This window comes from Homo sapiens, chromosome 1, assembly GCF_000001405.40.
Source record: "Homo sapiens chromosome 1, GRCh38.p14 Primary Assembly".
NCBI classification, from domain to species: domain Eukaryota; kingdom Metazoa; phylum Chordata; class Mammalia; order Primates; family Hominidae; genus Homo; species Homo sapiens.
Window position 1 is genome coordinate 173,620,885 of NC_000001.11, and position 12,892 is coordinate 173,633,776.

Sequence of the window (12,892 nt, forward strand, 5' to 3'; positions counted from 1 at the left end):
AAAAATTAATAAAATAGATAGACCACTAGCCAAATTAATAAATAAGAAAAGCAGAAGAATCAAATAGACACAATCAGAAATGATAAAGTTGATATCACCACTGATTCCACATCAAAACAACCATCAGACAAACTATAAACAATTCTATGAACATAAAGTAGAAAAGCTAGAAGAAATGAATAAATTCCTGGACACATACACCCTCCAAAGACTGAACCAGGAAGAAATTGAATCCCTGAATAGACCAATAATGAGTTCTGAAATTGAGGCAATAATAAATAGCCTACCAACCAAAAAGAAGCCCAGGACCAGATGGATTTACAGCTGAATTCCACCAGAGGTATAAAGAAGAGCTGGTACCATCTCTACTGAAACTATTCCAAAAAATTGAAAAGGAAGGACTCCTTTCTAACTCATTGTATGAGGCCAGCATCATCCTGATACCCAAACCTGGCAGAGATACAACAGAAAAAGAAAACTTTAGGCCAATATCCCTGATGAACATTGATACAAAAATCCTCAATAAAATACTGGCAAATCAAATCCAGCAGCACATCAAAAAGTTTATTCATCATGATCAAGTTGGCTTCATCTCCAGGATGCAAGGTTGGTTCAGCATACACAAATCAATAAATGTAATTCATCACATAAGCAGAACTAAAGACAAAAACCACATGATTATCTCGATAGAGAAAGAAAAGGCCTTTGATAAAATTCAATATCTCTTCATGTTAAAAATTCTCAATAAACTAAGTATTGAAGGAACATACCTCAAAATAATCAGAGCCCTATATGAAAAACCCACAGCCAATATCATAATGAAAGGACAAAAAGTGGAAGCATTCCCCTTGAAAACCAGCACAAGACAAGGATGCCCTCTCCCACCATGCCTATTCGACATAGTATTGGAAATTCTGGCTAGGGAAATCAGGCAAGATAAACAAATAAACAGTATTCAAATAGGGACAGAGGAAGTTAAATTATCTTTGTTTGCAGATGACATGATCCTATATCTAGGAAATCCTATTATCTCAGCCCAAAAGCTTCTTAAACTGATAAGCAACTTCAGCAAACTATCAGGATACAAACTCAATGTGCAAAAATTGCTAGCATTTTTATACACCAACAACAGGCAAGCAGAGAGCCAAATCATGAATGAAATCCACTTCACAATTGCTACAAAAAGAATAAAATACATAAAAATACAGCAGTCAAGGGAAGTGAACAACCTCTTGAAGGAGAACTACAAACCACTGCTCAAGGAAATCAGAAAGGACACAAACAAATGGAAAAACATTCCATGCTCATGGACAGGAAGAACTAATATTATGAAATGACCATACTGCCCAAAGTAATTTAAAAATTCAATGCTATTCCCATTAAACTGTCATTGACATTCTTCACAGAATTAGAATAAACTATTTTAAAATTCATATGGAATAAAAAAAGAGCCTGAATAGCCAAGACAATCCTAAGCAAAAAGAACAAAGCTGGAGGCATCATGCTACCCAACTTTGAACTATACCACAAGGCTACAGTAACAAAAACAGCATGGTATTGGTACAAAAACAGACACATAGACCAATGGAAAAGAATAGAGAACTCAGAAATCAGACCACACACCTACAACCATCTGATCTTCAACAAACCTCACAAAAACAAGTAATGGAGAAAGGATTCCCTATTTAATAAATGGTGTTGGGAAAACTGGTTAGCCATATGCAGAAAATTGAAACTGGACCCCTTCCTTACACCTTATACAAAAATTAACTCAAGATAGATTAAAGACTTAAATGTAAAACCCAAAACTATAAAAACCCTAGAAGAAAATCAAGGCAATACCATTCAGGACATAGGTGCAGGCAACGATTTCATGAGTAAAACACCAAAAGCAATTGCAACAAAAGGAAAAATTGACAAATAGGATCTAATTAAACTAAAGAGCTTCTGCACAGCAAAAGAGACTATCATCAGAGTGAACAGACAACCTACAGAAAATTTTTGCAATCTATTCATCTGACAAAGGTCTAATATCCAGAGTCTACAAGGAACTTATACAAACATACAAGCAAAAAACAAACAACCCCATTAAAAAGTTGGCAAAAGACACGAACAGACACTTCTCAAAAGAAGACATTCAAAAAAAAAAGGCTGGGCATGGTGGCTCATGCCTGTAATCTCAGCAATTTGGGAGACTGAGGTGGGCGGACCACCTGAGGTCAGGAGTTCAAGACCAGCCTGGCCAACATGGTGAAACCGTCTCTACAAAAAAATATAAAAATTAGCTGGGCATGGTGGCACACATGTAATCCCAGCTACTCAGGAGGCTGAGGCAAGAGAATCGCTTGAACCCAGGAGGTGGGGGTTACAGTGGAGGCGGGGGTTGCAGAACCCAGTCTGAGTGACAAGAGTGAGACTCCGCCTCGAAAAAAAAAAAAACACATTCATGTAGTCAGTAAACAAACATGAAAAAAAGCTCAACATCACTGATCATTAGAGAAATGCGAATCAAAAATACAATGACACACCATCTCATGCCAGTCAGAATGGCAATTATTAAAAAGCCCAGAAACAACAGATGCTGGCAAGGTTGTGGATAAAAAGGAATTCTTATACACTGTTGGTAGGAATGTAAATTAATTTAACCATTGTGGAAGACAGTATGGCAATTCCTCAAAGATCTAGAGACAGAAATACCATTTGACCCAGCAATCCCGTTACTGGGTATATACCCAAGGGAATATAAATCATTCTATTATAAAGATATATGCATGTGTATGTTCATTGCAGCACTATCCACAATAGCAAAAACATGGAATCAACCCAAATGCCTATCAATGATAGACTGGGTAAAGAAAATGTGGAACATATATACCATGGAATACTATACAGCCATAAAAAGGAACGAGACCATGTCCATTTAAAAGACATGGATGGAGCTGGAAGCCATTATCCTCAGCAAACTAATGCAGGAACAGAAAACCAAACACTGTATGTTCTCACTTGTAAGTGGGAGCTGAATGATGAGAACACATGGACACATGGAGGGGAACAACATACACTGTGGGGGTGGGGGGAGGGACAGCATCAGGAAGAATAGCTAATGGATGCTGGGCTTAATACCAAGGTGATAGGTTGATCTGAGCAGCAAACCACCATGGCACACGTTTACCTATGTAACAAACCAGCACATCCTGCACATGTACCCTGCAACTTAAAATAAATGTTGAAGGAAAAAAATAAATATAAATATAAATAAAATAAAATGTTGCCACCCTATCTCCCAGGAGGAGATGCCTCCTAGATGAGAATCAAAATCACCGACAGGCCCAGTGTGGTGGCTCACACCTGTAAAGCCAACACTTCAGGAGGCTGAGGCAGGAGGATTACATGAAGCTAGGAGTTCAAGACCAGCCTGAGAAACATAGCAAGACCCTATCTCCATAAAAAATTTAAAAATTGGCCAAGCATGGTAATGCCTGCCTGTGGTCCCAGCTACTCAGGAAGCAGGAGTATCACTTGAGCTCAGGAGGTGGAGGCTGTGGTAAGCTACAATCACACCACTGCACCCCAGCCTGGGTAACAGAGGAAGACTCTGCCTCCGGGGGAAAAAAAAAAAAAAATCAAAACAAAGCTACAGTAATCCCATAAAATTTAATGACTGATGATGGTAATATTAAGATTAGTATTAGACATTTCCTATAGGAAGAATTCAGTTATTATTAGTTATTACTAATATTGCAAATAATGAAACTAGGGAACTATATCATAGATTAGTGCTTGTAACAATGTTAATAACTACTTAATGAAGATTGTTAAAATCAGAATATCTCAAAAATAACAACATTGAACTTAATTTTCATCCCTTCTGACATTCAAACCACCTTTTATCCAAAACTTACATGGTGTAGTCATTTTTGTGAAGATAGGAGTCACAATATCTTCCAGTTGTTGTCTCTGCTCAAAAAGCTCATTAATGGAAGCTTCTGTATGGGTTTCCAACCACTCATTTTTTGCACGGCATGCACTGAGGATGGTATTCTAGGGACAGAAATACAGAGTTTGCTCTCCACTTATTTATTGAAAAATAAAACTCAACAGTATCTCTAAACCAGCACGTCCAACTGAACTTTCTGTGATGATAGAAATATTCTGTACCTGCATTGTCCAATACAGTAGCCATTAGATATAAATAGCTATTGAGCACTAGAAATGTGGCTAGGGTGACTAAGGAACTACATTTTAAATTTTATTTAATTTTAAATAATTCAAATTTGAATAGTCACATGTGGCTAGTATCTATTATATTGGACAGTGCAGCTCTAACATTAGTGGAATATGAGCACAATAAAACTCACCATCGAGAGTCATGAAGCCTGGTACCATTCTACACTTTCTCCCTAATTCTTTATTTTTGTTAAGCCCTGTGACTAAAAGAAGTACTTGCAAAGACCAGAAAAGAATGGGTGGATGGTATGAGTTGCATGCAACTCAAAAGACAATGCTGATATTTTATTCCCTCTCAAATGGTTCACAGAAGGAGGAAGTTCAAGAAATACAAGAAAAGCTCCATCTTACTGAAAATCTCTCAATTTGCACTGTAAAATTATCTCATCGCACATATGCAGCAAATTTCTGATGTCTGATTTAAGATGTTTATTATACTATGGTCTGTAAAAATAAAGATAAATAAATACATTTGTGGTATGTCCTGTCCATACTGTTAAATAATAAGCAGTAGCATATGCAGAAGTATGTAGAAGCAGGTAGACTTAGAGAGGTGTCCATAATATCTTATTGAGAAGGAAAAAAAGTAAAATTAAAGAATAATATATATAAGTGTGATCTCATTTTTATAAAAACAAAATCTTTCATAAAATTCCTATTATGTGTATGGATACATATGATTATATAAGTGAAAGGGAAAACATAACACAAAATTATTTTTGAAACCACATAGTAGGTATTAAGAATAGAAATAGAAAAGGGAAAACTATTATGTTTGCTTTAGACATTCTGATTTTTTCTAATTATTACTATGTATACATAATAATTTCTAGTTCAAATAATCAAATTTTTAAAAATTAAATTAAGAATGTTCTAGTAACTAGTTTGACAAAGCACTATTTCTTTGTGTCAGGAAAATTTTGCTTTGCAGATCTGATAGCTCCAAATGCTATTCTAATAAATTTTGCCTACATTTTGTTTGTTTCACAAGAGATTTTGCAGAGTACTCTACAAGACACAAGTGCAATGTATAACTTATCAAGTGCTAGACTTGGTGATATCTTATACTTTTAGCAATACCTAATTCTTTTTCATCTGAATAATAAGTCACAGGAAATTCACAGAGCATCCTGCACAAAAATAAATGAAATAATTTAAAACCAAAACACATTTCTGATACCTTCAGTATATTTTTTAAATGTACATTCAGAGCACTAAACTATTCCACAGGGAATGCTTAGATCTAGTACTTAGATATGTGGCAAGTGGGCTTTAAAATTACTGTGTTTACAGCTGTGTATCTCTTTTCCCATTCTGGAAAATTTGACACATTAAATAATATGCAATGTATTTGTACATGTACATATATACTAAAATATACAATGTATATCTCAGTTTTGAAGCAAAATAATGAAATGAATATTTCCATTGTATTATTTTGGACCCTACCAGTCCAGAACCAGAACACTACCAGTACTATTAATACAGCTTCTGTCCCTCCCCATCCCACCCCCCGACTGCCTTCAAGAGATAACTATGATCTGTGCTTATCCCTTTGCTTGGCTTTTTAAATAGTTTTACTCCCATATGTAGGCATCCCTAAATTATATAGTTTGATATTGCTTGTTTTTGAGCTTTATAAAAGTCTATGTAGTCTTTGATAATTTTTTTTACTCAATATTACATTTCTAAGATTCAGCCATGTTGCTGGGTTTGATACTTAGTACATCTCTATGTCACTCTTTAATACTATTTATTTTAGTTTTGATCAGACTATCCTCTATTAGAAGTTTATAAAGAAAGGAAGGGAAGGTAGGAGGGAAGAAGGAAAGAAAGAGGGAGGAGGGAGGAAGTAAGGACCACTACCTGCCTTTAGAACATCAGTGCAAAAATTAAAATGTAAGACAAAATTCTCAAAACACTACAGAACAAGCAATAATCACAATACAGTACCTTGTCTTCCTTAAGGAGTTTCCCTGATCCCTTTTCTGTGTCAGTAACAGCTAAAGAGACTTTTGCAATATATTTTTTCAGAGTCAGCCTTGCATCTGAAAGAATGGACAGAAACACACACATGACAAGACAAACACAAGAGGCAAAGCAAGATAGTCAAATGGAAGCCTCCACTGTCCACCCCACCCCACAGAAACACCAAATTGAAAAACTATCCATACAAAAAAGCACCAACATGAGAACCAAAAATCAGGTAAGCAATCACAGTAGCTCCTTTTAACATCATATTAAGGAAAGAGGCACTGAAGAGGGTAGGAAAGACAGTTTTGAACTGCCTACACCACACTTCCCCCATACCCCTGGTAATAGCCACACAGTGCAGACAGAGAATCTATATGCTTGAGGGAGAGCACAGTGACTGTGGGACTTTGCACTACAGCTCAATGCTTCCCTATCATAGAAGAAAGCAACATGGGGCAGAATTCAGCTGACAACCATGGATGCAGCATTTAGACCAGCCCTAGCCAGAGGGGAAGCACACAGCCCAGCAGTTGGAATCTGAGTTCCAGCAGGCCCCACCACTACAGGCTAAAGTGCTATGGGGTCCTAAATAAATTTGAAAGGCCATCTAGGCCACGAGGGCTGCAATTCCTGGGCAAGTCCTAGTGCTGTGCAGGGATCAGAGCCAGTGGACTTGGGGTGCACATCACCTAGTGAGACACCAGCCTGAATGACCATGAGAGTGCTTGCCACCGCTCTGCCAATCCCAGGCAACACAGCTTACAGCTCTGGGAGAGACTCCTTTCTTCTGCTTGAGGAGAAGAGAGGCAAAAGTGAATAAGACTTTGTCTTGCAACTTGGATACCAGCTCAGCCACAGTAGAACACGGCACCAAGCAGAGTCCTGAGGCCCCCATTCCAGGCCCTAACTCCAAAGTGGTATTTCTAGACACATCCTGGGCCAGAAGGGAACCAGCTGCCTTGAAGGGAAGGACCCAGGCCTGGCAGGATTCATCACCTGCTGACTAAAGAGCCCTTGGGTCCTGAATAAGCAGCAATGATACCTAGGCAGTACTCACCACGGACCTTGGGTGAGACTCAGAGCCATGCTGGCTTCAGGGGTGACCCAGAACATTCCCCAGCTGTAGGGACTAAGGGGAGAGACACCTTCTGCTTGACGAAAGGAGAGGGAAGAGTAAATGGGACTTTGTCTTGCAACTTGGGTACCAGCTCAGCCACAGTGGTGTAGCACACCAAGCAGGATCCTAAGGTCCCTGATTCCAAGCCTTGGCTCCTGGAGAGCATTTCTGGGCCTGGCCTGGACCAGAGGAGAGCCCACTGCCCTGAAGGGAGAAACCCATGCTGGGCAGTATTCACCACAGGCTGATTGTAGAGCCCTTGGGCCTCAAGTGAATACCAGCAGTAGCCAGGTGGACTTGCTGTGGGCCTGGGCAGTGGTGGCCACAGGGAGAGACTACTCTGTTAGAAGAAAGGGGAGAGGAAAAGTGGGAAGGACTTTGTCTTATGGCTCGGGTGCCAGCTCAGCTGCAGTAGAATAGAGCACCAGCTAGATTCCTAAGGTTCTTGACTCCAGGACTTGACTCCCAGATGGCATCTCCAGACCCACCCAGAGCCTGGGGGAACTTGTTGCCTTTACGGAAGGACGCATGCCTGGCTGTATTTGCCAACTGCTGATTGTAGACCATTGGGCCTTGAGTGAATATAAGCAATAACTAGGCAGTGGCCACCACAGGCCTTGGGCAAGACCCAGTGCCATGCTGGCTTCAGGTCTGACCCAGGGCAGTCCTAGTGGTGGTGGCCACAGGGGTGCTTGTCTTACCCCTCCCCCAGTTCTAGGCAGCTCAGCACAGAGAGAGAGACTCTGTTTATTGAGGGGAAAGTAAGAAAAGAAAAAAAGAGTTTCTGCCTGATAATCCAGGGCATTTTCCCACATCTTACCCAAGACCATTAAGACAGCATCTCTACAAGTCTGCAAGAGCCACAGCGTTACTGAGCTTGGGGTGCCCCCTAATGCAGATACGGCTAGAGTAACCAAAAACTTAGATCACAACATCCAAGTCCCTTCAAATACGTAGAAAGCCTTCCCAAGAAGGACAGGTACAAACAAGCCCAGACTGCAATACCTACAATAAATACCTAACTCTTCAATGCCCAGATGCCAGTGGACATCCACAAGCAAGAAGGTCAGTCAGAAAAATAGGACCTCATCAAACAAACTAAGTAAGGCCCCAGTGATCAATCCCAGAGTGAAAGAGATATGTGACCTTTCAGAGAGAGAATTCAAAATAGGTATTTTGAGGAAACTCAAAGAAATTCAAGATAACACAGAGAAAGAATTCAGAATCCTATCAGATAAAATTAACAAAGAGTTTGGAACAACTTAAAAGAATCAAGCAGTAATTATGGAGCTGAAAAATGCAATTGACATACCAAACAATGCATGAGAGTCTCTTAACAGTAGAATTGATCAAGCAGAAGAAAGAACTAGTAAGCCTAAAGACAGGTTATTTGAAAATACAGTCAGAGGAGACAAAAGAAAAAAGAATAAAAAACAATGAAGCACTCCTATAAGATCTAGAAAATAGCCTCAAAAGGGCAAATCTAAAAGTTTCTGGCCTTAAAGAGGAGGTAGAGAGAGAGCAGGGTAAAAAATTTATTCAAAGGAATAATATTAATTAAAAAAAGAACTTCCCAAACCTAGAGAAATATATCAATATTCAAGTACTAGAAGATTATAGAACACCAAGCAGTTTTAGCCCAAAGAAGACTACCTCAAGGTATTTAGTAATCAAACTCCCAAAAATCAGGGATAAAGATCCTAAAAGCAGCAAGAGAAAAGAAACCAATAACATATAACGGAACTCCAATACATCTAGCAACAGACTTTTCAGTAGAAACCATATAGGCCAGGAGAGAGTGGCATGACATATTTAAAGTGCTAAAGGAAAATAACTTTTACCCTAGAACAGTGTATCCATGAAAATATCCTTCAAACACATCAGAGAAATATTTTCGCAGGCAAACAAAAGCTGAGGGATTTCATCAACACTAGACTTGTCCTAGAAGAAATGCTAAAGGGAGTTTTTTAATCTGAAAGAAAAGGATGTTAATGAGCCATAAGAAATCATCAGAAGATATAAAACTCACTGGTAATAGTAAGTACACAGAAAACCACAAAATACTATGTATGACACTGTAATTATGGTGGGTAAACTACTCGTATTTTGAATAGAAAGACTAAAAGATTAATCTATCAAACATAATAATTTTCAAGACATAGGCGGTACAATAGGATATAAATAAAAACAACAAAAAGGTAAAAAGTTGGAGGGGAATGAAGTTAAAGTGTAGCTTTTATTTGTTTTTCTCTTTGCTTGTTTGTTTATACAATCTATGTTAAGTTGTCATCAGTCTAAAATAATGAACTATAAGATACTATTTGAAAGTCTCATGGTAATCTCAAATCAAAAAACATACAACAAAGCTGGGCTTGGTGGCTCACATCTATAATCCCAGCACTTTGGGAGGCCAAAGCGGGCGATCACTTGAGGTCAGGAGTTTGAGACCAGCTACTAAAAATACAAAAATTAGCTGGCGTCGTGGTGCATGCCTATAATCCCAACTACTAGGGAGGCTGAGGCAGGAGAATCGCTTGAAGCCAGGAGGCAGAGGTTGCAGTGAGCCAAGATTGTGCCACTGCACTCTAACCTGGGTGACAGAGTAAGACTCTGTCTAAAAAAAAAAAAAAAAAAAAAAAAAAAGAGAGAGAGACACAAAAAATAAAAAGCAAGAAACTAAAAGGAAGACAGGAAGGAAGGAAAGAAGGAAGATAAGACCACAAAACAACCAGAAAACCAATAGCAAAATGGCAGGAATAAGTCCTTACTTATCAATAATAACACTGAATGTAAATGGACTAAACTCTCCAATCAAAAGACATAGAGTGGTTGAAGAGATAAAAATCAAAGATCCAATTATCTGTTACATATAAGAAACACACTTCACCTGTAAAGACACACATAAATGGAAAATAAAAGAATAAAAAAAGATATTCCATGCCAATGGAAACCAATAAAGAGCAGGAGTAGTACACTTACATCAGGCAAAATAGATTTCAAGAAAAAAACTATGAAAGAGACAAAGAAGGTCATATATAATAATAGAGGGGTCACTTCAGCAAGAGGATATAACAGCTGGGAATATACATGCACCCAACGCTGGAGCACCCAGATATTTAAAGCAAATATTACTAGAGCTTAAGAGGGAGCTAGACCCCAATACAATAATAGGTGGAGACTTCAACACCCCACTTTCAGCATTGGACAGATCATCCGGACAGATCATCCAGACAGAACATCAAAAAAGAAACATCGGACTTAATCTACACTACAGACCAAATGGACCTACTAGATATTTACAGAACATTTCATTCAGTGACTGCACAATGCACATTTTTCTACTCAGCACATGGATCATTCTCAAGGACAGACCTTACGTTAGGCCACAAAACAAGTCTTAAAAGTTTCAAAAAAATTAAAATTATATCAAGTATTTTCTCTGACCACAATGGAATAAAGCTAGAAATCAATAACAAGAGGAATTTTGGAAACTATACAGCACATAGAAATTAAACAGTATGCTTCTGAATGAACAGTGTGTCAATGAAGAAATTACTAATAAGAAGGAAATTTTTTAAATTCTTGCAACAAATGAAAATAGAAACACAATATACCAAAAGTATGGAATGCAGTGAAAGCAGTACTAAGAGGAAACTTTATAGTAATAAACACCTACATTAAAAAAATACAAAAACTTCAAATAAACACCTTAACAATACATCTTAAAGAACTAGAAAAGCAAGAGCAAACCAAACCCAAAATTAGTAGAAGAAAATAAATAAAAAAGATCAGAACAAAAATTAATGAAATTGAAATTTTAAAAAAATTCAAAAGATCAATGAAATGAAAAGTTGGTTTTTTGAAAAGATAAACAAAATTGGCAAACCATTAGCCAGACTAAGAAAAAAAGAAAGGCCCAAATTTTAAAAATCAGAAAAAAATGAAAAAGAAGACATTACAACCAATTCCACAGAAATTCAAAAGATCATTAGAGGCTACTATGAGCAAATATATGTCAATAAATTGGAAAACTTAAGATAAATGGATAAAGTTCTAGACACATACAACCTGCAAGTTTAAACCATGAAGAAATCCAAAACCTGAATAAACCAATAACAAGTAATGAGATCAAAGCTGTAATAAAAAGTCTCCAAGCAAAGAAAAGCCCAGGACCCAATAGCTTCATGCCAAGTTTTACCAAACACTTAAAGAACTAGTACCATTCCTACTCAAACTATTCTGAAAAATAGAGAAGGAGGAAATACTTCCAAATACATTTTACAGAGCCATTATTACCCTGATATGAAAACCGGACAAAGACACATCAAAAAAAAAAAAAACAAAACAAAACCCCAAAACTACAAGCCAATCTCCCTGATGAACACTGATGCAAAAATCCTCAACAAAATGCTATCAAACTGAATTCAACCACACATTTAAAAGACCATTCATCATGACTATCATCATGACCAAGTGACATTTATCCCAAGGATGCAAGGATGTTTCAACAAATGCAAATCAATTAATGTGATACATCATATCAACAGAATGAAGGACACAAACCATATGATCATTTTAATTGAGGCTAAAATTTAATATTCCTTCATGTAAAAATCCTCAAAAAACTGGGTATAGTAGGAACATACATCAACACAATCAAAGCCACATATGACAGACCCACAGCTGGTGTCATATAGAACAGGAAAAACTAAAAGCCTTTCCTTTAAGATCTGGAATAAGACAAGAATGCCCACTTTCACCACTGTTATTCAATATAGTGTTGGAAGTCTTACCTAGAGCAATCAGAGAAGAAAATAAAGGGCATCCAAATTGGAAAGGAGGAAGTAAAATTATCCTTGATTCCGGCTGATATAATTTTATATTTGGAAAAGTGTAAAGACTCCACCAAACAATTATTAGAACTGATAAACAAATTCAGTAAAATTACAGGATACAAAATCAACATGCAAAAATCAGTAGTATTTCTACAGGCCAACAGTGAACAATCTGAAAAAAAAATCAAGAAAGTAACTCCATTTACAATACATACAAAGAAAATAAAATACTTTGGGATAAACTTAACCCAAAAAGTGAAAAATCTCTATAATGAAAACTATAAAAGACTGATGCAAGAAACTGAAGAGGACATAAAAAATGGAAAGACATTCCATGTTCATAGATTGGAAGAATCAATATTGTTAAAATGCTCATACTACCCAAAGCAATGTACAGATTCAATGCATTGGTATCAAAATACCAACGACATGCTTCACAGAAATAGAAAAAACAATACTAAAATTTTTATGGAACCACAAAAGCCCCAGAATAGCCAAAGACATCCTGAGCAAAACAAAAACATAAAAACTGAAGGAATCACATTACTTGACTTCAAATTATACTACAGAGCTATAGTAACCAAAACAGCATGGGACTGGCCTAAAAATAGACACATAGACCAATGGAACAGAATGGAGAACCCAGAAATAAATCTATAAATCTCACTTTTGACGAAGGTGCCAAGAACATACATTGGGGAAAGGACAGTCTCTTCAATAAATGGTGCTGGGAAAACTG

At 37.3% G+C, this 12,892-nt stretch overlaps 1 protein-coding gene across 8 annotated transcripts in view; it reads right to left on the reverse strand.

Moving 5' to 3' along the window:
* ANKRD45 (ankyrin repeat domain 45) overlaps positions 1 to 12,892 on the reverse strand; it is a 106,850-nt gene that overhangs the window by 12,549 nt on the left and 81,409 nt on the right. For 6 of the 8 annotated variants that reach the window (XM_017001123.2, XM_047419195.1, NM_198493.3 and 3 more), the window contains 2 exons: positions 6,181 to 6,275; positions 3,903 to 4,041 (listed from right to left, as the gene is read on the reverse strand). In XM_017001123.2, coding sequence (XP_016856612.1) covers positions 3,903 to 4,041; positions 6,181 to 6,275 — 234 coding nt within the window. Of the gene's footprint in view, positions 1 to 3,902; positions 4,042 to 6,180; positions 6,276 to 12,892 lie in introns of those variants that run through there. The other 2 variants (NR_158771.1, XM_047419206.1) reach the window with 2 other exon arrangements.